Below are 24,282 nucleotides of genomic sequence, written 5' to 3' on the forward strand. Positions count from 1 at the left end.
CTTCTAAGGTCAGGGGTTCAAGACCAGCCTGGCTAACATGGCGAAAGCTTGTCTCTACTAAAAATACAAAAATTAGCTGGGCACAGTGGCGAGTGCCTGTAATCCCAGCTACTCGGGAGGCTGAGGGAGGAGACACGCTTGAACCCGGGAGGCGGAGGTTGCACTGAGCCGAGATCAAGCCATTGCACTGCAGCCCAGGCAACAAGAGCGAAACTCCATCTCAAAAAATAAAAAGGTAATTAAGTTAAAATGAGGTCATTAGGGTGGGCCCTAATCTACTATGACTGATGTCCTAATAACAGGAAGAGATTAGAGCACAGACACACGCAGAGGGGAGACCATATGAAAACAGCAGGAAAAGACAGCCACATATAAGCCAAAGGGAGAGGCTTTTGCCAACACCCTGATCTCAGACTTCCAGCCTCTAGGACAGTGAGAAAATACATTAATATTATTTAAGCTCCACAGTCTATGGTACTTTGTTATGGCCACCCTGGCAAACTAAAATAGATGGAATTCCACCATTCTGAATTTTTTTAAAAAATAAATAAAATCACATAACAGTTAAAAAAAAAAAGAATGGCAAAACACATTGTCAGAGATTCTTCACCGTGTCCTTAAAAGTCTTGAAATTGGCCAGGCGCGGTGGCTCACGCCTGTAATCTCAGCACTTTGGGAGGCCAAGGCAGGCGGATCACGAGGTCAAGAGATCGAGACCAGCCTGGCCAACATGGTGAAACCCTGTCTCTACTGAAAATACAAAAATTAGCTGGGCATGGTGGTGGGCGCCTGTGATCCCAGCTACTTGGGAGGCTGAGGCAGGAGAATCACTTGAACCTGGGAGGAGGAGGTTGCAGTGAACCAAGATCGCACCACTGCACCCTAGCCTGGTGACAGAGCGAGACTCCATCTCCAAAAAACAAAACAAAACAAAAAAAGTCTTGAAATGACTGATGCAGGGAATAGAAGGTATCACTGACACCACTGTGTCAATGGGCGGATGAGTATCCTAGCAGGGAAAGTGTTGACTGGCGCTGGTAGGGGAAGTACACACAGGACAGTCAAAAGGTTTTATAGAGACCTGTGGTCTCTTTTGTATGACTTCTAGATCTTCAGATTAATCTTCCTACTGAATATTTTCGGCCATTCTGTCTACCCAGCTTCTCTCCTAGAATGACTCCTTCCCCACTCTTCAAGCAATTCAAATAGGACTGACTTCCTCCTACCAGCTCCGGGGATGTGGTGGAGGTTCTTCCAACCAGATTACAACATGGGCTTTCTTTTGAGATGGAGTCTCATTCTGTCGCCAGGCTGGGCTCACTGCAACCTCCGACTCCCTGGTTCAAGTGATTCTCCTGCCTCAGCCTCCTGAGTAGCTGGGATTACAGGCGTGTGCCACCACGCTTGGCTAATTTTTGTATTTTTAGTAGAGACAGGGTTTCACCATGTTGGCCAGGTCAGTCTCAATCTCCTGACCTCGTGGTCCCCCCGCCTCGGCCTCCCAAAGTGCTAGGATTACAGGTATGAGCCACCGCGCCTGGCCACAACCAGGACTTTTGCCAGATGTACTGGGAAAAAGATGCTTTCCCTCAGCTACGATGGTGGGGCAAGTCAGATGTGCACCCAGGGCTCCTGGCATCCCATGGGGACAGGCTGCCTGAGAACCAAGCCAATACAGAAGAAGGCAGAGCCAGGCGTGGGGCAGTAGAGTCGGTGACGCTGTTCGAGGACTTAGATCCAGCCCTGCCTGACGCTGCCCTCGGGTCTTCAGTCACTTAAGAAGATAAAGTGGAATGGTTATTTAACATCACTATGAGTTAGGTTTCTATAATTTGTACCTGAAACAGTCCTCAGTGAGCCATTGAGGCACTCTGGCATACACGATCACATGACTAGCTACATGTGTAAAAGTTTCATCAACATTTAAAGGATGTTTACATTATCCTGAAACCCAACAGAATTTCAAGTGTGCTTAATCAGGAGGGCAATGTATGAGCTTTAGGAAATACTGATGTCCTTTAAATTTTATGGAAAAAAATATTCAGGTGTATAAGGGTCTATGGCAGAAATCAACTTAAAAATTACCCACTCCAAACTTCAGTATCTGAGACAGAATAGTACAGAGGTATTTAAGTTTTTTTTTTTTAATTCCTTTTTTTTTTTTTTTTTTTTTGAGACAGCATCTTGCTCTGTCACCCAGACTGGAGTGCAATGGCGTGACCAGGGCTCACTGTACCCTCAACTTCCTGGGCACAAGGAATCCACCTCCCAGTCTCCTGAGTAGATGGGACCACAGGCATGCACCAGGATGCCCAGCTGATTTTTTTTAACTGTTTTTTATACAGATGGGGTTTCACTACGTTGCCAGGGCTGGTCTCGAACTCTTAGGCTCAAGCGATCCTCCCACCTTGGCCTCTCAGTGTGCTGAGATAATAGGCATGAGCCACCATGCCTGGGCCCTTGAATTCTGAAATTTGAAAAACTTGTACTGCCGTGCCTATTTTTAGGCTGACATAAAGTTTTCATCCTCAACTACACAATTTCTAAGGATACAATTTTCAGCATATTGTAAACATTAACATTTTAAAATAAAACTTTCACATCACAGTTTTAAATGGAATCTAGCAATCTGATAGCCATCATTCATTTTAAAAATCCAACAGCAAGTTATTTTTTAAGAACTGAAAATGTTATATTATTCTCTCACATGAGAAAGGGGCTTAAATGCCCTGTTTCTGGCACCAAGTTTCAACACGTAAAAGACAAAAGGGAAAGAGGCAACCATGTGGCATTGCTGTGATTAGAAGGACCTCAACATACCAATTTCAAATAGTCCCTTTGTTAGGTGACCCTTGAGATTTTCATACCCAGAGCAACATGCCAGAATAAGACTAGTTCTGGCTAAGAGATGTGCCTTTATAAAATGAGGGAGGACAGGGCCTGGTGCAGTGGCTCATACCTGTAATCCCAGCAGTTTGGGAGGCTGAGGAGGGTGTATCACCTGAGGTCAGGAGTTCGAGACCAGCGTGACCAACAAGGTGAAACCCCATCTCTACTAAAAATACAAAAATTAGCCAGACGTGGTGGCAGGCGCCTGTAGTCCCAGCTACTCAGGAGGCTGAGACAGGAGAATTGCTTAAACCTGGGAGGCGGAGGTTGCAGTGAGCCGAGATTGCGCCACTGCACTCCGGCCTGGGCAACGGAGCGAGACTCTGTCTCAAAAATAAATAAATTGATTAATTAAATAAAAATAAAAATAAACAAAATGAGGGAGGATAACCATGAAAGGAGGATTGGGAGAACCGTGGACCAGACAGGGATCATCTCAGGCTGATCAATTTCAGGGAAGGGCACATATGTGAGGCTGGAGATGTGAAAATTTATTTTCTTAGAAGTATCCACATCTGCATACTCCATGAAAAGTCTTCATGTATTTCCCAGGGGTATGTATATTTCCAGTATTAGGACACCTGGGTTGTTGGATTATAGGACAGAGATTAAAAGCAAATATTCTGAAAACAAAATTCATTTCCAGTCTCTGGGCTTTATTGCTTGAGCAAATAACCTCTCCAAGCCTCAGTTTCCTTAGCTGTAAAATGAAACTACTCAGCTTAGAGAGCTGTCAAAAGGCATAATACTTGTAAAGCACACCTCAGTACCTTTTCTTACAAACTGCTAAGGAAGGGGCCTTTCCTATCCCATTCATTGGCTGCCATCTCTCTTAACTGTCAGAGCCCAAATTTCCTATGAGAGAAAAGTGCAAGGTAGACAGAAAACTCCTGAAAAACTGCCTCAGGTGATTAGTGGGCAACCATTTGCTTTTACCTTCAGGGCCTCTGCAAATTTTCTGAGATCTCTGGACAGGGCTAAGAAGAGAAAGACTGGCCTCTTCTTCATCCCCAGGAGCCCTTGGTTTCCTGGTTAACCAAGCACAATTACTCTAAGGTGGGGAAGGCAAAGAGATGAAGGGAAAGGGAATGAAGCAACTCTAAATAACTGAGTGCTTTCTCAACATAATACACACATTAACAAATTTAATGAGCTCAAAAATGCTGTATTTCCAAAGGAGTTATAGATAATTCCAAGCAGAAGAAAAAGGAAAATGGCAAAAGCTAAGACCCAGAACAAGCACCCCTTGGTATGGATTAAATCAGACCACTACTGGAGAAGCAGTAGGGCTTCCTGAACCATATAACCAACACCACGTGCCAAGTGCAAGTTCATAAAGTTTTGCTAGTGCCTGGATCACACAAACCTTCTGATAAGCCCAGGGCTCCTCTGTCACTCCTCTGTGATTTGCTAAGCAAACCTATTCATGCAGCACTCACGCCTGGCTTACAAGGGCAGTGCCATAAAAACCCAAATGGACCTCACGAATACTAGAGGCAATACTAAATATTCTAACATAAACATGTGGTTATGTGGAGAAGAGTCTTTAGGCACTGCTGCTAAGCTCCTGTACAAATTTATTCGATCCTCCCTAGCCAGTCCCCATCACCGTCTGATAATTTCTCCATCAATTATGACTGCCATTCTGCATCTGGCTCTTTAAATGGGGAATACTATTAAACATAAAAGGTACAAGGTTCTTCAAGTCCTCCTACCTGCTAATCCTCCACTTCAATACTCAGCCCTTGAGAGCTTGTGTGAAGACATTTCTTTTTTTTTTTTTGAGACAGAGTCTCGCTCTGTCACCCAGGCTGGAGTAGCGCAGTGGCGCGATCTCGGCTCACTGCAACCTCCGCCTCCCGGGTTCACACCATTCTCCTGCCTCAGCCTCCTGAGCCTCCTGAGCCTCCTGAGCCTCCTGAGTAGGTGGGACTACAGGCGCCCGCCACCACGCCCGGCTAATTTTTTTTTGTATTTTTAGTAGAGACCGGGTTTCACCATGTTAGCCAGGATGGTCTCAATCTCCTGACCTCGTGATCCACCCGCCTCGGCCTCCCAAAGTGCTGGGATTCCAGGCGTAAGCCACCGTGCCCGGCCTGTGTGAAGACATTTCTAGGTCTGCAGTGATGACTAAGATGCATTCTACCTCACCAGCACCACCAGATTTCCTGAAGGCATCAGTGTACCCCAGGAATGCCCAATGGCCATTCTGGTCATTGGTGAGAGGGGGAAGGTTTTCTTTAGATTCCGGAATACTTTGAGAGGCTAATTCACATCAACCCATCCACCACTGCAGCACAGTATGACACTCGAGGTTTCATCAGAAAGGGTTACATTATGCCTGGCCAGCAAATTCACTGAAATCTAAAACGACAACAACAACCATTTATTGTATTGACTGCATGTTCCAGGCATACGGTAAAACCTAGAAGATCCCCTGAGATGCAGTTTTACTGAAAGGCTCCCGCTCTCTAGCAAAACAGTCAGGTTACGGCGCAGAAAGTGCAGCTGCAGAAGTCAGACTGAGGTGCAGATGCGGTTCAGTGCTCAGTACCAGGAAAAGCTTAAGAGGCAGGACTACCTGAGCTGGGTTCTGAAGGAAAAACACAAGTGTCCCAGGCAGATAAAGAAGGAAAGAGCTTACCGGGCAGGAGGGGTATGTGCACAGCTTGACAGGTCTAGGGGGAAAAAAATCAGTAAAGAAGAAAATGATTAAGTTACAGATTGATGATGCATGAAATGGGGGGTGGCCAGGGGTGGGGGGTGAGACTGCAGAGAAAGGCAGGGCTGGTTCATAACAAGCTTTGTGCGTCCCAATATGACAGCTGAAGTTTTCCAGGGGCTGATGGTGAGCCAGTGAGGGTAAGTACACAGAACATCCTAGAGAAACCCTCATTCCTTAAAGATTAAAAATAAAGACTTGCTGTCTGTAAGGGATTGGATTATCCTATTTGAGAAATTCTGTTATCCAGAATGGCTTACCCCACAATGCTGAAAAGTGTGTACCGTAATCTCAAAGCAAGCTCCTCCTCAGACAGAGAAACACCAGCCGTCACAGGAAGCAAAGAAATTGGCTTCACTTTTAAGGTGAATCCAGAACCCAGATGTCAGAGCTCCAAGCACTTTGCTCTCAGCTCCACGCAGCTGCTTTAGGAGCCACTCATGAGGAAAAGAAGAATTTTCTCTATTATACCCCTTATTGGGTGCCATCCAAGGCTAGGAAAAAGGTTGTTCTATAACCCTGAGCCCATTTGAACAAACCCCCAATAAGAGAGGCCCCGAAAAGTGTATTTTCACCAAAGCTCTACCCCAAGCCAAGCCAAAGGAGAAAGCGCTATTTTAAGACTTGCTGCTTGTGTCACGAGTGGACTTTATTCCAACAAGGCCATATTACAGTGGGCAATGAAAGCCATCTCAGACTTCCATATCAAGCAAATGTTTGTGAGCCAGTGATTCAACAGAGAAAAATTCACAAGCCTCCCTGGGCTTCTGTCCTCCTGTAACAGTTCCAGCCTGGCGGCCCTTAGAACTTCATATATGAACTGGTACAAAATCCTGTCCAGCTGTCTCCCAGCCTCCATCTCTCCCCGCTTCAATTTGTCCCAGGCACGATGCAGGTGCACCTTCCAAAACCAGGGCCTTTAGCACACCACATCCCCCTGATGAAAAGTCACCCTGCCTTCCCAAAGCCCACAGCCCCTAACTCACCAACTTCTTCTTTTGTTTTTTTTTTTTTGTTTTTGTTTTTGTTTTTGAGACGGAGTCTCGCTCTGTCATCCAGGCTGGAGGAGTGCAGTGGCATGATATCGGCTCACTGCAAGCTCTGACTTCCGGGTTCACGCCATTCTCCTGCCTCAGCCTCCCGAGTAGCTGGGACTACAGGCGCCCGCCACCACGCCCAGCTAATTTTTTGTATTTTTAGTAGAGACGGGGTTTCACCGCGTTAGTCAAGATGGTCTCGATCTCCTGACCTCATGATTCGCCCGCCTCAGCCTCCCAGAGTGCTGGGATTACAGGCATGAGCCACCACGCCCGGCCTAACTCACCAACTTCATCTGCAACTCCTTGCTAACAGAAACCCAAGCTGGCTTCCTCTCCAACCCAAAAAATATATTTGTGCTTGCCAAACTACCCTCCCTTAATCCTTCCATTCAGATTTTAACTGTCTTGTATCCAAAGACCCAACTCAAGTCCCACCCCTCCTTTGAGTTTGAGAAGCTAAAGGAAGCTCCCACCTCTGACTTCCCATCCGTGTTCAGCCACCACAGTGCACACATCCATTCACTACACTGCTACCTCCTTTCTATTGTTGCTCGTAACTGTTCATTTAATCTTCTATTGTTGCTTAACTTATGACACATTTTTTGCAAGCTCTCCAACTATGTCCCTCGAGGGCAGGGACAGGAAGCTCTGAATTTAATATAATAAATGTTGAGTGGAGGAGTCGTAAGTACTAAGAGCTTCGCAAGGTGCTTTCATAGATATAAGGATGGGTGTAACGTACTCACAGCCTCTAATACCTAAGTGAAGGAATAAGAATTAAAGTATGTAGATACTGACAATGCCTAGTTGAAGATGGCCAAGCACAGCCTTTGATTTGGTTTGCTGTTTGGTGACGCCTCCTCCTACCCTATCCTCCCATCTCCTAATCACTAAGACCCAAATCTAATATTCTCATCTTGACTTCTTCAAGCAGAATGCTACCCAACACACTGTCCTCTGGGCCCTTTGACTTTCACTCATCCCCTTACGAGACTCTTCCTCCCTCACCAAGACGAGGCTCCTGAATGGACGATGAGTAACTCTGCACCTCTGTGTTCCGCTGTCAAGCCAGGACCTGCACACAGTAGGAGCTTGATCAACGTTGGCTGAGCAAGTGAAGGAAACCCCACAAAGAGACAGTGTCACAGAGCCTACAGTCAGGAACGATTTCAGCCAGAGACAAGAGAGAGGATGGGGGGTTGGATCCAGCAAAAAAAGCAGCGTAACAAGGCCACTCAAGTGGGAAAACAAGTGGCATTTTTAGGTGAAGCCTAGTAGGCTAGGAACAAAGAAAACCTGGAGAGGAGTCCTAGGAAATACAGCGAGGTCAGAGAGGCAGGGAAGCCAGGGGCAAGGTCGGTCCTGGAACAACAAACTGAGGAGTCTGAACAGCTGCGAGTTGAGTCCTGGCTCCTTCTTCATGGCTGTGGGCCTTGCACAAGCGTCAGTTTCCACATCTGTGAAGTGGGAGAGTGAGCACATCCCCCTCCCAGGGTTGCTGTGAGAATGAAATAACAAAAATGACCGAATGAGAGAGTGCCTGGCACAAAAGAAACACTGGAAGAACGTGCTTTGGGTGCAGATTGGATGGAAGCAGAGCATGCTGCAGAGAAGGGAGAGCTGAGGACCAGGGAGCCTAGGTTCTGGTTCCACCTCCCCTCTGAATAATCATCTTGACCTCCCTTAGGTCTGGCCTTAGTTTCTACGGATGTAAAATGAAGGTGTTGGTCTAGTGGGGCTCCAAGGTCTCTTCCAGCCTTGGTAGTCTCTCAATACAGTAGCTCTGCCTTACAGACGGAAGGCATCAGAGAGTGCTCTTGTAACTGAGAAACCCAGCAGAGAGGGAGTCATATTGGGAAATGGGTAAAGACACCAATATGGTCGAGGAGAGTTCTTCCTGCTGGGGACCAAGTACTGAGTCCCTCCCTCCATTCTCCCACGTCCACTTCATCCTCCTGACATGGGAGCGCCGGTCTACACCTAAGTCATTTCATAATCATCGTCATCCATGCTGGACAACAACCATCCTAAAGTTTCTCATATTGAAAATGTCTTTCCAGGCATTTTCAAGGCAACTTGTCATGTAAATGTGAACAAGCTTTACAGCATGTCCATTCTTCTCATTCCAGATAAGTTAAAATCCCTACAAACTCGGAGGAAAGAAAGCACGCATTTCGGTATTGTACTCTCCTTGCCTTTTTACAAAGCCATCAATGTTTGAACCACAACAATGATCCTTCAGAGAATTCATTCTGCTGATCTGAAATATCCTTCACATTTTTAAAACAAAAGCTGCTAGGAGACGCCTTGAGGAGCTCAAGTCTATCTCATCACCATTTAAGTCTACTGTTACTCACCCACCTCTCCCTCCCGCATCACCTCCACCCCAGTAATGAAAACATGACCATTCATTCACAAAACAAATCATTCAGTGTGGACACAACTACTTACTAACTGCAGACCTACTAAGCACCAGCACCACTCCTGAAGAAAGGTAAAGCCCCACCGGCCTATGGGCTTGCCTCTATGCCTCCCTTGGCTTCTGAAACAACCACAAAATGCCATTTCCAGATGAGAGCTGACATCAGTCAAGAAGGCTCTTAAACAAACAGTGTTGGCACATGAAGGATCTACGCAACTGTTCTAAAAACAAAAGGGGAGGGGATGGCTTCGAGTTAGCCGCAGCAAGGTTAACCTTACTCAATAATAACAAATATGCATTTAATGTATCCAAGGAAGCCGCAGCAATCCCTAACCACAGAATAACACTCAAGAGCCCAAGATTCCCTTCTGAATTTAAAATTTAAAAAAAAGAAAAGGAAGAAAGAAATCCCTAGATGCCCACGTTCTGCTGTAAATCTTCCTAAATTCTATGGCTACCATGGAGAGCTGGAAAGATCGGCAAGTCCTTTCTTCCCAATTGGCCTTGGTAATTCAGAAAAGGACTATGTTAAAAGCAAAGCTCTCTCAGTAGTCAGGGTTCCATCTCCATCTGCGTCTGCTGCCTGTCCAAGGCACAGCCCCATAATGCGACAAAAGAGGCTCAAATTATGGGTGAGACTGCATTTTCAATTCCAGCCCCAGCCTGTGATTACCTGCAACTCCAGGTTGCCCAAAATTACCTCTGAAGCCTTAAACGCCCTACAGTTTATTCCATTCCTAGAACAAAATCTTTTTTGGAAAGCCTCATAAGAGATAAAGGAAGAACAACAATGAAAAAAAAAAAAGCCCTAGATATTTCTGTTACAGTGAAGGAAGAACCAGCAGACAAGCATGTTTTTTTTTTTTTGAGACGAAGTCTCACTGTTTCCAGGCTGGAGCGCAATGGCTGTGATCTCGGCTCACTGTAACCTCCGTCTCTGGAGTTCAAGTGACTCTCCTGCCTCAGCCTCCCGAGTAGCTGGGATTACAGGCGTGCGCCACCACGCCCGGCTAATTTTTGTATTTTTTAGTAGAGACAGGGTTTCACAATGTTGGCCAGGCTGGTCTCGAACTCCTGACCTCAGGTGATCCCCCCACCTCGGCCTCCCAAAATTCTGGGATTACAGGCGTGAGCCACCAAGCCCGGCCTGATTTTGATATTTTTTAATGTCTCATACACACCGCCTCTCCTGTATACTCAAGCAGAACAAAATGAATTCCATGTCTCTGCAATTATAAAAACTCAGAATCCTGGAAACTCTTACCTAATTTACTTTTTAAACCACTTTTGTTCTTGATATATTCTTAGAGGTAGAATGTGCGGGTGGTTAAGGAACTTATGAAGGTGGGTAGGTGAGTACTGTTATCTCCAGGCAGAACAGTAGTTAAATAAGTAATCTGCCAAAAGTAAGTAAGTGATGTAACTCCATGTGTTAGGTTAGCGGTAATGACAGTTTACATAACCACTGTACTGCTTTCTGCAATACAGTTGAATATTAGGCTCCTAGCGGGTTATTTGTTAAAACATTCGTTTATGTTTGAGAAGTCTTTGGTGTTTTTTTTGTTTGCTTTTTGTTTTTGAGAAGGAGTCTTGCTCTTTCCCCAGGCTGGAGTGCAGTGGCGGCATCTCAACTCACTGCAACCTCTGCCTCACAGGTTCGAGCCATTCTCCTACCTCAGCCTCCCGAGTAGCTGGGACTACAGGCACGCGCCACCATGCCCAGCTAATTTTTTTTTTTGTATTTTTAGTAGACACGGGGTTTCACCATATTGGCCAGGATGGTCTCAATCTCTTGACTTCGTGATCCACCTGCCTCGGCTTCCCAAAGTGCTGGGATTACAGGGGTGAGCCACTGTGCCCAACCGAAAAGTCCTTGGTTTTGCATAACAGGTGAGGCTCCCAAAAGGGTCTATCATGATTGTGTTCATCAAATAATTTGAAATATAATAACGGAATTAGCTATTAAAAGGAGACTCACTATGAATCCCTTTAGTAAGGTAAAAATCTTTTTGTACTGCAATTAACTTATCTCAAATTATTTAGTTTTAAGATCACATTTTATATGCCCACTTCTCCTAAAATACAGCACTCCTCCACTTGGCTTCAACTCCCAAATAAGAATGTAACAAACCTTCTATTTACACTGCACTTACTTCAGATCTCCTCTTTCCTCTACCCCCAGGAGATCAGCCATAGTGAGGAGCCCTCTTTCTAGCAACTCACACATTTGGAGGCATCAAACTAAGTCACTTTGCATTTTTCCTGACTTGTGTATCTACCCAATTGCTCTTCTACTCTGTTTTTCTTCAAAAGACCTTTGATATTCACCCAGCAGCTCCCCTACAAGGTAATCTCCCGTTCAGGCCAAATGAATGGGTTTCCCCTTCCAAGTTACATTCAGGGCTTTGCAAAATCCGGAGAGGTCACCTCAGCTTTTATTTACTTAATTATGAAATAATTACAAGATTCAGCATTGTTGCTGTTGTTTTTAATCACAAAGCACTTAATTCTCAAATAGTGGTCAAAGAACAGTGTAACATTTCAGAACTAACGGGTTTCCACCATAGGTAATAAGTTAGCTGGCAAGTCTGGCTGCTGCTTTATGAAAATGGCTATGACCAATCACAAAGACTTTGTGATTCTTTTCTTCAGCCTTGTGTATTTGCAGTGCTTTATATTTCAAGGAAGAGTGCACCTATGAACTGGTCAGGCCTCTTTCTTTCCATTTAAGAAGGAGAAAACTAGACAACCTAAAGAGTGCTCAGTGTAGAGGCTAAGCTAACTGACTGAAGCAAGCCCTTTCCCTCCCTGGGCCTCTAAATTCCTACTTACAAGATCAGTAACACACTAATGTATAGAGACAGCGCCTGAAGCCCAGAGATGCCAAGAAATATTCTAAGGTCACACAGCAAGTTAGCACAGGATGCTGTAAGACTAAACCCCTGATCCCCTGGGGCTTGATTAAAGCATCCTGTCTCCCAATCAACATAGGGATGGATGATAGAGACAAGACAAACATACAAACACAAACACACACACACACACACACACACACACACAGAGAGAGAGAGAGAGAGAGAGGCTTCTAACTTTTATTCCCATTATCCTTCTGGCTGCTGTTTCTAAAAACTATACTAAATATACCTGGCCCTGGAGACTGCTTTTACAACTGTGATTTTCCACATTCTCTATCTAATATCCTTCAGGCAGTTACACTGTTGCTTGCTCTTCCTCACCATAGTTTCCTCATCCCAAGAAACACACATATGCACACATGCCCACCTACCCTCCCATTCTCAATATTCAAAACTCTTTCTTTTCTAACAGCAAAGGAAGTTTAGACTAGAACTGAAATGATCATAATATGAATCTTGTTCAGGTGTTAAACACAACCATAACTCTACCCAGAGCATATCTGATAAAATGGAATTTGTTCTCACCTAAGTGTTTTTTTTTTCATATTATATCATTTGTCAAGTAACATTGTCATTTTTCCCACTGCTGCATAATGACATAATGAAAGTGCCAGGTGTAATTCATGTACACAAGAGGGCAGACTTAGGGTTGATAAGGGACCCTTTCTTTATTTGCATTGCTAATAGTTTTTTAAAGAATAGGCAAAATGCTGTACGTAGAATGATAACGGACAAAAGAAAAAATTTTCTGTTTTTAATAACAATGTGGGATAACCAGTTAGCATGCTCAGATTTTATCTCGCAACCATTCTTGCCACTATTTGAATACACAGAGCAAGAAGCGGGGGCACAGTCCTCAGCATGGAATCTTATTAAATTATTTCTCTTCTAACACCGCGTTTCCCTCTTCGGGCACATCCCACCTTCCAGCCACACTAACTATGACTATTCTCCATACACACCACAATAGATACTTTAGGGTTTCCATGCTGTTCTTTCTGCCTGTGATCCCCTTCCTCCCTACTCTCCTGGGAAGTTCAAACTCATCCCTTGAACAAGTCTGCAGGATAGTACTTACCTGGTAATAATAGTTGAATGTCTGGCCCGGGCACGGTGGCTCACACCTGTAATCCCAGCACTTTGGGAGGCCGAGACAGGTGGATCACAAGGTCAGGAGTTCTAGACCAGCCTGGCGAAGATGGTGAAACCCCGCCTCTACTAAAAATACAAAAATTAGCCGGGCGTGGGGGCGGGCGCCTGTAATCCCAGCTACTCGGGAGGCTGAGGCAGGAGAATTGCTTGAACCCGGGAGGCGGAGGTTGCAGTGAGCTAAGATCATGCCACTGCACTCTAGCCTGGCTGACAGAGCAAGACTCCATCTCAAAAAAAAAAGAAAAAACAAACAAACAAACAAATAGCTGAATGTCTGCCTCCCATAAAAGACTAGAAGCTAAATGTAACCTGACTCTGTAACCTCCACACAGAGCATGGCACCTGCCACAGGGTAGATGGTCTATTATTATTTGTTAAACGAAAAGATGAAAAGTCTTATAAAATACATTTAACGAAGCCTTTCACTCGTTGCTGCCTGCTACTCTCCATACGCCAATGTGACAGAGAAATGCTGAACACCTCTCAATGGCAAATACTCCATGTAGAGCGACCTCACCAACACTAAGCAGATTTTCCAAGGTGGCTGTATCCCCGAGGTGTGTCAGTGGCAGGGTGTCTAGAGCTCTCAGCCTTTTGGGTCTTATATCCCCCACCCCCAATGCAGTATGCTCCTCCTTTCTGAGAATCTCTAGCCAAAAAGACACCTTCATCTTGTTCACGGACCGTAAGGAAGGCCAGCCTCCTGCCTCTACTTCTGCCACCTGGCTTCCATCAAATTCATAAGACTTCATTCATGTCTCAGGATGACAGCATATATTCTCCACAGGATCGGTCTTCAATCGTTGGTGCTCAATGGCAAATGCGATGGTATTTTCCTGTTCCAATCTCTTACCCCTTGGCTGTACTGTGCCCAAGAGAATCAATCTATAAAGTCTTAATGTTAGAAATAAAGCTGTCTGCTGACCATTTTTCCTAGACCACAACAATAGCTCCCCTTCAACTACCTAAATGTGCACTACACGTATGGGTAAAGGGTCACAAATGCCGTCTACCAGACCCCAGAGTTCAAGGGAAAAGTAATAACTCAGGTGGGTTCACAGGTTTCAAACAGAGTCTAACTCTACATGCTGAACTGGGCCTTTTAGAATCCAGTGTGACCAACATCTTGGTGATATCTGCCTGTTTTTGTGACAGTATTCTAAACTAAGCAGGCTCTTCTTGGCCTCTACCTTGCATCTTTCCTGTCTCCCCGCTACTCCCACCTCTGGGATCAGCTTTGATAAGACTTAGCTACTTGGGTAAACCTAGGCAATGGGGCAGTCAGTGTTCTTCAGGGAAGTAGAATTATCTTCCAATTCTGCTGGAAGGGCTGTGGACATTAATGATTTCATACTATTAAAAGTGCAGACAGCGTCTGAGGTGGAAGTGCAACTACACCGTCAAATGTTATGTTAACATCTCTAAGTATACGGAATGTATTTTTAAGGGGAATTTTAAGTTTGATGGAGTCCACTGCAGAGACATTTTGAAGCCATGTGATTTTATGATGACTGCAGGGAATATGCAGTCAAAAACCAAACACCAAAAGTGTTGATTACAAACTGTTAGGGAACTTAAAGTTAGGATGGTCTAATATTCAAAGGATAGAGCCTTTTTGTAGTCCTTAAATACTTAGAGATTATAACTGAGTCTTTTCAGAATGTCACATAACATTTTGCAGTTAACTGGTTCTGAGTTGTCCAAATGACAATTTAGATGTGAGCAGGCCCATCCCTTAGGCACTCAGAATCCACTCACTAGTGCAAGCATGTACTAGATCCCAAAAAGTTCATCTCAGGAACCCTCAAGATAAACCACAGTCTCACGAACCCTCAACATAAACCACAGGCTCATGAACCCTCAAGATAAACCACAGTAACATGGGCCCTGGTGTTTTCTTCTTCGATGGTGGAAAAGATAACTAGTCCCCCCTAGTGTCCTGCTACTGTAGGTGGCTGAAGGATGGCGACACTACAGGACGCACCCTCCCTGCACTGTGCATCAACTTTAAAGCGCAGCTCAGGAACCCAGAAACAAAGGAAACCTTCGTCACAACCTTCCCAAGAGATGGAAGCACTTCCGAGACCTATGATGAGATGAAAAAAACCTTTCATTTCATTTCTAAGGCCCTTCCAGGTATGGTTTAAAAGCCAAAGGAATCTGCATTGGCTCACATCAAAAAGTTAATCCACACCCCAGCACACTTCATTAAGTGAAGCAGGAGGGCCCACACTTGTCAGCAGCTACTGCTCACTCCAGAGCAATCCGATCTTCCCGTTAAAAACCTCTCTCTCCTGCCAGGGGGATTTGATTCCTTTCCTCGCCACTCTTGAAAACCCACTAACCTCTAAATCTTGGTGATTTTTGCCTCTCTGTTCGAGTGAGTTTTCTTCCTGGTATGGAATTAACAGGGACAGGCTCGATAAATGTGTTCTCCACAAGCAATTTTCACTAAAGTACTCTTGAACAATAAAGGTACACTAAGAGATGTGTGAAATCTTAAAGCTGGCGTTTTTATTTCTTTTATTTTTACCCCTAGGGAGGACCAAGCGTGCCAGTGAGTAATTCATTCATGTCACCCATTTGTGAGGGATGGGAGAAGAAACAACCACCACTTGTTCCCTTCTTAATTTAGAAGCTTTCCTTATCTTAAGTCTATCAAAGCTGACTCCTGAGGTGGGAAGACAGGAGAAGTGAGAAGAAAAATTAACCCGAGGTGACTGCCTCCACGGAATGATAAGCACTTCAGGTCTCCACACCTGTGTCAGAGAAGAAAGGCATCTGCATGTCAGGGAGGCGGACGCCCCCACCTGCCACCCCCTCCGTTTCTCCCCTTGAAGGAAGCAGGAGCCTGATCTCCCCCCACTCCCTCCTCTCTCTCTCTCTCTGGGCACTTACATAAGACCCTGTAAAACTTCCAGTGACATTCACGAAAAATGTAAGCTGCTATTTTGCTCCCTCAGGAGATCATTTTAATGGACTGAGTGACAAAATTCACGGATTCTGAATTCAGCAGAAACCTGCTCAACCGAGGCACATCAGCACAGAGACGAAAAAAAAAAAAAAAAAGAGTCCAACCCCATTAAACAGGGTCACCCAAGGGATGGATTCAGTGTGCAAGAGACAATCTGTTCCCTCCGAAGTGACCCATTTAAAATCAGATTGTTCTGGGGGAAGCTCACAGGTTTAATAAATTTCAAACAGGCAAGGACAGGCTTGTACAACTGAGGTTCCTTAAGAGGAACATTTAAAAGAGGATAAGGCAATGAACAAAATAACTTGAGGATACACAAACTTTGGAGTCCTCACTCCAAAACTTCAAAAGCAGTGACATTTACAAGAATGTCTGGATAGCTATACACTGATCACTCCTCACAAGCAGCTTTGACTAACAGGAAGGACATGCTGGCTGGGCTTCCCCCCTACAGATAGCAATGCCAACCAACCACTCTGTCCTAAAGAGGGACTCGCAAGCTGTGGCTGCTCGCCCCCAAATTGCGCAGGACTGTCTGCAAGAAGGAACAAGAAAAGTTATTCACAGCATCACACCACGAAAGGTAGTTGCGTACCGCCCAACAGGGCCCTCTCCAAACACGGCAGGCTCCGCGAACCACAGGTGCTCACCGCTAACAAGAGGGCCGGGGGTGCGGGTATCGGTCACATGCCCTCGTGGTGTTAACCAGAAACTCCTCCTGGCTCGCTCCCTGCCAGCAGCCTGTGTGCCCAGAAGCCGAGCAGGCCCTGAGGGGGTCCTGGGGACTTCGGAGACTGGGGGCTTCCACCTCCAGCCTCTCCAGGGCTCCCGGCCGGGGCAGCAGAGGGTGTGCCCGGCCTCCCCGCCGGCATCCCGAGTACAGGGGGTACCAGCCACAGGTTCGGAGAACTTGTCCGGCGCTACACACCACGGCGCCCCCGCGGCGACTCTCGCGCTCCGGGGCTCTTACCTTGGCCGTGACTGCCGCCAGGCAGAGGGAGACACGGAAGAACAGGGTGGCGCGGCGGCGCCGCCGCCTACGAGGCGCAGGGGGTCCGGGTCAGGGTCCCGGCAGGCGCTGCCCTACTCGGAGCGGCGGTGCCAAGCACAGAGTTCGGGACTGCCCCCGGCTCCAAATGCCGCGGCGAGGGTCCGGGTCCCCCAAGCTGAGCACTGTCCCTTCTTCCTCTTCCTCCGGGGCCGCTGCCTGGAGCTGCTCCCGGCCCGGGGGACTCTTCCGAGCCAGGGGCGCCCCGCATGGGCAGGGGCCTGGGTCAGCCTCGGGTTGGGTCCAGGGAGCGACCGCCGGGGCCGACTCCACCTCCCGCGCTCCAAGCCGATTCGTCCCTTCAGGGCAGGGCCTGCCCGCGAACAGCCCGGCGAGACGAGCGCGGCCGCGCCCCCAGCTTCGGGCGCCCGGGCTCCGGCGCGGCGGCGGGGCAGGAGCAGACTGGCCGGGCCGGGCGCCGAACGCGGCGGCGCGGGGGGGGCTGCAACCGGCCGCGGCGCGCTCTCCCCCAGGGCCTGCGCCGCCCGCCCGCGGCTCCGCGGGAAAGAAGCGCCGGAAAAGGCCTCGCCCCGGCCTGGGGCGCGGGGCCGGGGGCGCGGGGCTAGGGGAGGCGCCCCGGGAAGGTCACGGGAGCGGAGGCGCGGCGAGTGGATCGCGGCGCGGTGGGTGCGGGGAGCCGAGGCGGGCGGCCCCCGCCGCCGGGAGCGCTCGCCGGCCTTGGCCGCCGCCGCCGCCTCCGAGATGCGCCGGCTTCCCGGAGCGCCCGGCGCTCGGAGCTGGGCGGCCGCTGCAGCCGCCGCGGGCAGCCGGGCGCCGCTGGCCGGAGCCGGCGCGCGATCCCCGCCTCCCGCGCCCGGCCAGGAGTGGGCCGCCGCGCGGGAACCGGCAGGGGCGGGCGCTGGGGTCCGGGCTCCGGGCTGGCCCCGCCGCCTCCGCGTGCCCAGAGCGCCGGACTCGCTCAGCAGCTGCAGTGACTGTGTGTCTGTGTCATGTCTGTGCAGCCGGGGGGGACCGCGAGCCGGGGCTGGGTTCCGAGCGGGGGCGGGGCCGGCGCCCGCGTCGGCGCCCGCCCCCGACCCCGTGACCGAGCGGCCGGCCAATGGCAAGCGCCGCAGCCGCGCGGACCGAGAGTTCGCCCCCGCACAGGCTCCGCCCCCCGGCGAGACTCCGCCCCGGTGCTTCTTCAGCTCGCTGGCTGGCAGGCAGGCGGAAGCAACACCCGGAGCCGGGATCCCGGGCCGGGTCGGGATGAAAGGGTGCAAGCTGGGAGCTCCCCGCCCTTCTTCCCCCAACCCCGGCGGCTCCCGGCCGCCTCGGGCTTGGCGTGCCTCGCGGAAAAAGGGGGAAGGGAAGCGGGACGGGCCCGCAGCTGCCGTGGTAGAGAGGCTCGCAGGCTTGCAGGACCATGCAGCCTGCTCCCCAAATTGCACAAAACAGCCGTCGTGAGAAGTAGGAAGTTTCCCCGCCTCGGGTCGCAGCTTCTCTCGGAGGTGGGCATGCTGTGGGGCAGCCGGAGTCTGTGAGGAGCCCCGCCGAAGGGCTCTGACGGCATCTTTCTGGGATCGGTATCCAAGAATCCTGTCCAAGGCTTCCTCTTCCTCTGAGGAAACTACATTTCTTTTTCCTCCACCCCAAACACACACCCCATGCACGCACAACACGCCCCTCCCCTGCTGATTTTATTCTCGCTCTTTCCCTCTTGGCATAAGAACCCGGCGCGCAACATCCCTTGAATGGACTTCCAGCCTCCCAGTTCTAGGGACCAGGGTGGGGGTACGGAGAGTCCTCCCGAGCCACAGGAGAAGTGGGTGAAATGGGTCGGGGCACAGGAGCGGGGGTGTGAGAATGGATGGAAGGAGGATGCCCTCGAGAGAAGACCCAGAGGAGGCGAAAGCAGAGAGGCAGGGAGAGAAAGAGGACGCCGAGAGCTGCACAACTCGGACTCGGAGACCGGAGCTCCGGGCGCGCGATCCAGCTCCCGGGTTTTTCCGCAGCTCGGTCCCAGGGCTTCTGGGGTCCCCTTCCCCCCGGGTCTCCACCTCTCCCCAGCCGGGCGGGCCGCCGGGTCTTTGCCTTCCCTCTGCGCGCCTCTCCGCTCTCCAGGACTCGAGCGAGGCAGCGGGAAGCCCACCCTAGTTCTTGGAAGGGGCAGGGGAAGGATGGGCTGGGGAGGGGGCGCGCGGGAAAGGGCCGCCGAGCTTGGGTTGCCCAGCTGACCCCACTCCTCGAGGTCGGGCTGGGGGGGTGGGGCGGCAAGGGCTTCGGAGGCTTGGCCCCTGCTTGGCTCCGGACCTGGCTCCCGCCTCGGTAACCACACTCTCGGCCTTTGGCTTTACCGAGCTGGGACCCTTCTCCCATCCCCCTTCCCTCCAGCCTCGTGAAACAACGACCCCCACCAGCAGCAGCAGCGCCCGCTTTGCCCCGGCTCCGGAGCGCTGTTTACCTAATCTCAGCGGCTGACCGAGCCCAGCAGAATGCGAAAGGGAGGCAGCGGTGGTACAGCAGCGTCCCCGGCGAAGAAGTAAAAGACGTTTGCTTTGGAGCTTCGGGATAAGTTAACTGCGAAGCTGGGGTCCTGCTGTCTTACCTCTGCGGCGATGAGCCTCACCGTGCACGTTGGCAGGCATAGCAGATTCTGTTTCTGATGCCATTACCGTGTCGGAGAAGAACATTATATGAAAAAATACTATCTAATATCCTAGAGACCATTAAAGTGTCAAAGTTTAATGCCAAGTCTTTTAGCTCGAAGGCTGCTCAGTTCTTCCTCTGACGTGCAGCTCTGTTCCAGAACGCGCTGAAAACAAGGGGATCATTTTTATTTTTTTGCCGCCCGAATGTCCTTCCTTCCTACTCTCTTCCTCCTCTCTCACCCCTACCCCCTCCCCGGAACCGGGTAAAGTTAAAGGGAGAATTTGTACTTTCTTTTTACGTTTTGCTTTGCTTCACTTCATTAGTGGTGTAAAATGCATTATTACAGCACATTAGCATATTAATAAAGGTAACGTGACTGAGGAAAGGAAAAGACCTGAAATTTACAAGCGAAGGAGAAATAGTTGAATAACATCAGAAACTAAAAGATAAGCTTCCGGGAAAGAAACATCTCCATTATAATGACTCAAGTGTAGTACATTCTCTAGATGGAATCTAAGAAAGAAAAATGTGACCATGGTGTGGGAGCTAGCAATGTTCACGCTGGTCAGTAAGGCACGTTGAAGACATAATGCCTTATTAGTGGATTTCACAAAGTGTACTTGCATTGGTCAATAAGCACCTTAAATGTGGAAAAGCTTTGTTTTATCAAATCAAGGTTGCAAGTGCCTGCAGTCAGTGGCATAGCTAATGCTCTAAATGATATTAATGTTGTCAGACTGAAATGTGCCACATACTGAGTCCTCTGGTTAGTACATCAAGCCCCAGGTTTAAAGTATTACGTTGGAAAATTGTAAAGCTCCTCAACTCCCCAGTCCAAGCAACTAAATATGTATATACATATACATGGAAACCCTGAAGTAGGATGTAGTTACCAGGAATTATAGCCTTTTGACACAACCAAGATACAAATGTCTTAAAAGGATTTCCGCTACGATATAGTATGAGAATGCAGAATAAAATATGTAAAGTGATATATCTGTTATTTGTAAAGAATGAGCGCAGCTTTTGCTGAGAACTGAAAAATGAAAAAAAAAAATGAGCTATCTAAACCAACTGTTATCTGTTTATCTCCACACAGTTATTGTACCTGTCACTGAAGAGATTCGGAAAGGTCTCTTATTTTTTATTAGGGTCAAGGAGACCGAATCCTAAGAAACCTGAGGTCTTAAAGCAGCCACTAGGGGGCCCTAAAGGCATCTCAAAGAGGAAGCCAGGAAACACTCTCACCTCCGTTTTTCTGTGTGCCTGATATTAGGAACTGGGGAATCTAAAGGCACGTTAAGAACACAGTGCACTGTAGTCCCAGCACTTTGGGAGGCTGAGGCGGGCGGATCACATGAAGTCAGAAGTTAGAGACCAGCCTGGCCAACATGGCGAAACCCCGACTCTACTAAAAATGGTAAAATGTTCCGGGCGTGTTGGTGGGCGCCTGTAATCCCAGCTACTCAGGAGGCTGAGGCAGGAGAATTGCTTCAACCGGGGAGGCGGAGGTTGCAGTGAGCCGAGATCGCACTCCAGCCTGGGCGACAAAAGCAAAACTCCATCTCAAAACAAACAAACAAAAACATAGTGCAAAGTTTGGAGGCAAATCTAGTTTTATGTAATAAATGACCTGAGTCCAATTTTGACTCCTAAGTCAATTTAGTTTCTCAACTCTTTTCTCACCTCCAAGAAAGGAAATATTGTATCCTTGAGAGGAGGGTTACCAAATACTCTTAACTGTCTCAAAGTCGGCACAATTATGTTTGCCATTCCAAACAGGACGTTCTTTCAAAGATTTGAGGACTGTTTTCTGAATGTTTTGCACATTCTTCAAGAGCTACATAACAAGACGATTGAATTCTCACAAAGAGGATATTTAAAAGATTAAGCAACCTGTACAGCAGGGCACCCACCTGCCAACTTAATTGAAGTCAAGCCAGCCACAGGGGCACTAGCATTAGAGCTGAGTCCTGAAGGCTTCTGCTAGGCCAGACATTTATTCTTTAGTGCTGGGTTCTGGTGAAATGGTGGTGTTGATGTTGGGAGGAAGGAGTGGTTCCTGCAGCAGGGGTGAGGAGACAGGGTATAGTGGGAATGGCAGCCAGTGGTAGTGGAGGGGTGATTACTCCAAGGGCTACTTAGCCAGTATGGAAGGATTGCAGTATCTTAATTAATGTTATATTTATCAAAACATCTAAATGTCGGGTCTGATCCTACAGAAAGCTGCCTAAAATTTTTAACTAGCAATTAAATTTTCATGGCTTCCAGATCCTTAGCAGTCACATAGTATTTTTTCCATATCTTACCAGTAGGTAAAGTTAAGATGTCCTTTATGAGAGTCAAGAATCAAACAGCATTCAGATAGCACAGGTTTGAAAAAGCCTAGTTTTCCTTAAACCAATGCTAGATAAATATCTGCCAAAGATGCTCTGTCCTGACACACTTCAAGCAAAAATTTAAGCACCGGGCATGAAACATTGCTCTTTTATTTAGGCCAATAATCAAAAGACATTGCTGAACAAAACAAATGTCTCCATCCGGGCTAAGCAAAGAAGAAATCACCTGTTAGGTAAAGAATGAAAAAACATTGCAAAAGCCACCAAATTAACACTAATGGAAGTGTGATTTGAACATAATTTAAGTAAAAACAAGCAAGTCCAGAATGGAGACATGAGACAGGGAATGGGGATAAAGTCTTTCTTTGTGGAATGAAACTATTTTATGCTGACATCATCATGTTCATTAACAGGCGAGATACAGGTATGCTCAAAATAGCATTATTAACCTCCAGAAGACTTGCCCCTGCAAAGCTGAGAGCCAGCTAATTAGAACAAATTTGGCTGTAGATAGAGAATCCCATTGTCTTTTAGGAGAGAGGGTTTATTCACTCGCCAGCTGTGAAAGTCCGTCAGAGTAGGACTTTGTCAGGTATTGGCTCTCTGACCACCTTATGATAAAATGCTGAACTGGGGAGTCAAAGCCCCTCTAGAGACAGAAAGAAAAAAATCAGTGCCAAAGAGGTCAACTCAAAGGACAAAGGGAGCTTTTCTTCTCAAGGAAAGGGGAGCTCAAGCTAGTGGGCCATAAGATCCTCAAGACAAAAATGAAAACAAAAAATTTAAACATTGGTAAAAGCACCAGAGTCCTGAAATGAAACATTATGACATATACCTTTTGGAGCTCTTTAGTGTGAAGCCCTGTTTAAAGGGTGTGTTTTTATCAGTTTCTGTTTTCTCCTCCCTCTGTTTAAAAGAGCTATGAGGCAGAACATCTCAAAGTTTACTGTGTAGCCAGATCACCTGGGGAATCTTGTTAAAATGCAGATCCTGGTTATGTAGGTTTGGGGTGAGGCCTGAGATTCTGCTTTTCTTTTGTTTTTTGTTTTTTTGTTTGTTTGTTTTGAGACAGGGTCTCGCTCTGTCGCCCGGCTGGAGTGCAGTGGCGCAATCTCGGCTCACTGCAACCTCCACCTCCCAGGTTTAAGTGATTCTCCTGCCTCAGCCTCCTGAGTACCTGGGATTACAGGCACCTGCCACCACGCCCAGCTAATTTTTGTATTTTTAGTATAGTCGGGGTTTCGCCACGTTGGCCAGGCTGATCTCTAACTCCTGACCTCAGATGATCCGCCTGCCTCGGCCTCCCAAAGTGCTGGGATTATAGGCGTGAGCCACTGCTCCTGGCGAGACTCTGCTTTTCTAAAAATCTGCCATTCGTGGACCATGCTTTGAGTAGCAAGAATGTAGAAGACATTTGTTGGAAGTCAACAACATCCTTCCCTCTCTTTCCTCTTCCTAAGAGTATTTCCTTGGTTAGGATTCTTCAAAACCCTGAGACAAGGACTTTGCGGCAAGAAGCTTATTTGGGAGGTGATTCCAGGAAGCAGAGTGCTGCGATTTGGGTATTTCCTGAAGTTCACATGTTGAAAGGTAATCACCAATGTGATTGTATTCAGAGATGGAGCCTTTAGGTGGTGATTAAATCATGAGGGCAGGGATTAGGGCCTTTATAAAAGGGCTTGAAGGAGTGGGTTTGTGTTCTTCCATTTTTCTGTCATGTGAAGATACAGCAGGAAGGCCCTTGCCAGACACCAAACGCCAGTGCCATAATCTTGGACTTCCCAGCCACCAAAAATGTAAAAAATAAATTTTTGTTCTTTATAAATTACCAGTCTTAGGTATTTTGTTATAGCAGCACAAATGGACTAAGATAGAGTGAAGGTGTGGGGAAACAAAATAGGTAAGGAAAGAAGGCTAAAGAAAGGTGAATTAATAAGTGATCAACATGTGCTCAGTTCTGAGAGTATGCTCAGAGAGATTGTGCAGAATAGCACTGCCCAAAATAACTTTCTGTGCAATGGAATGACCTATCTGCACTGTCCAATATGGTAGACACTAGCCACATGCAATTGTTGTGTACTTGAAATGAGGCCACTGTGACTGAGAACTGAATGTTTCATTTTATCTATTGTCAATTAATTTGAATTGTAATAACCACATGTGTTGGCTTATTGTGTTGGACACTACAA

General features: G+C 47.6%; 1 protein-coding gene and 1 long non-coding RNA gene across 18 annotated transcripts in view, besides 4 other annotated features; one reads left to right on the plus strand and one right to left on the minus strand.

Moving 5' to 3' along the window:
• Window positions 1–19,914, minus strand: part of LARGE1 (LARGE xylosyl- and glucuronyltransferase 1) — an 856,162-nt gene extending 836,248 nt beyond the window's left edge. For 12 of the 17 annotated variants that reach the window (XR_007067993.1, XR_002958722.2, XR_007067994.1 and 9 more), the window contains exon 1: window positions 17,085–17,566. The gene's annotated coding sequence lies outside the window, so the exon portion shown is untranslated. Of the gene's footprint in view, window positions 1–17,084; window positions 17,567–19,566; window positions 19,654–19,710 lie in introns of those variants that run through there. The other 5 variants (NM_001378627.1, NM_001362951.2, NM_001378624.1 and 2 more) reach the window with 2 other exon arrangements.
• Window positions 1,571–1,865: a silencer, noted in NCBI's record as "tiled region #1840; K562 Repressive non-DNase unmatched - State 24:Quies". NCBI's record gives its function as "represses a minimal TATA promoter and a strong SV40 promoter by Sharpr-MPRA in K562 cells {active_cell/tissue: K562}" and the evidence as "EXISTENCE:reporter gene assay evidence [ECO:0000049][PMID:27701403]".
• Window positions 17,094–17,193: a silencer, noted in NCBI's record as "silent region_13648". NCBI's record gives its function as "represses an Ori minimal core promoter by ATAC-STARR-seq in GM12878 lymphoblastoid cells {active_cell/tissue: GM12878}" and the evidence as "EXISTENCE:reporter gene assay evidence [ECO:0000049][PMID:35858748]".
• Window positions 17,464–17,613: a silencer, noted in NCBI's record as "silent region_13649". NCBI's record gives its function as "represses an Ori minimal core promoter by ATAC-STARR-seq in GM12878 lymphoblastoid cells {active_cell/tissue: GM12878}" and the evidence as "EXISTENCE:reporter gene assay evidence [ECO:0000049][PMID:35858748]".
• Window positions 17,934–18,433: a silencer, noted in NCBI's record as "silent region_13650". NCBI's record gives its function as "represses an Ori minimal core promoter by ATAC-STARR-seq in GM12878 lymphoblastoid cells {active_cell/tissue: GM12878}" and the evidence as "EXISTENCE:reporter gene assay evidence [ECO:0000049][PMID:35858748]".
• LARGE1-AS1 (LARGE1 antisense RNA 1) lies at window positions 18,315–20,145 on the plus strand. Its single transcript, XR_001755630.2, has 2 exons — window positions 18,315–18,613; window positions 19,497–20,145. It is a non-coding gene; the product is annotated as an LARGE1 antisense RNA 1 (long non-coding RNA).

Source organism: Homo sapiens, chromosome 22 (genome assembly GCF_000001405.40).
Source record: "Homo sapiens chromosome 22, GRCh38.p14 Primary Assembly".
NCBI lineage: Eukaryota > Metazoa > Chordata > Mammalia > Primates > Hominidae > Homo > Homo sapiens.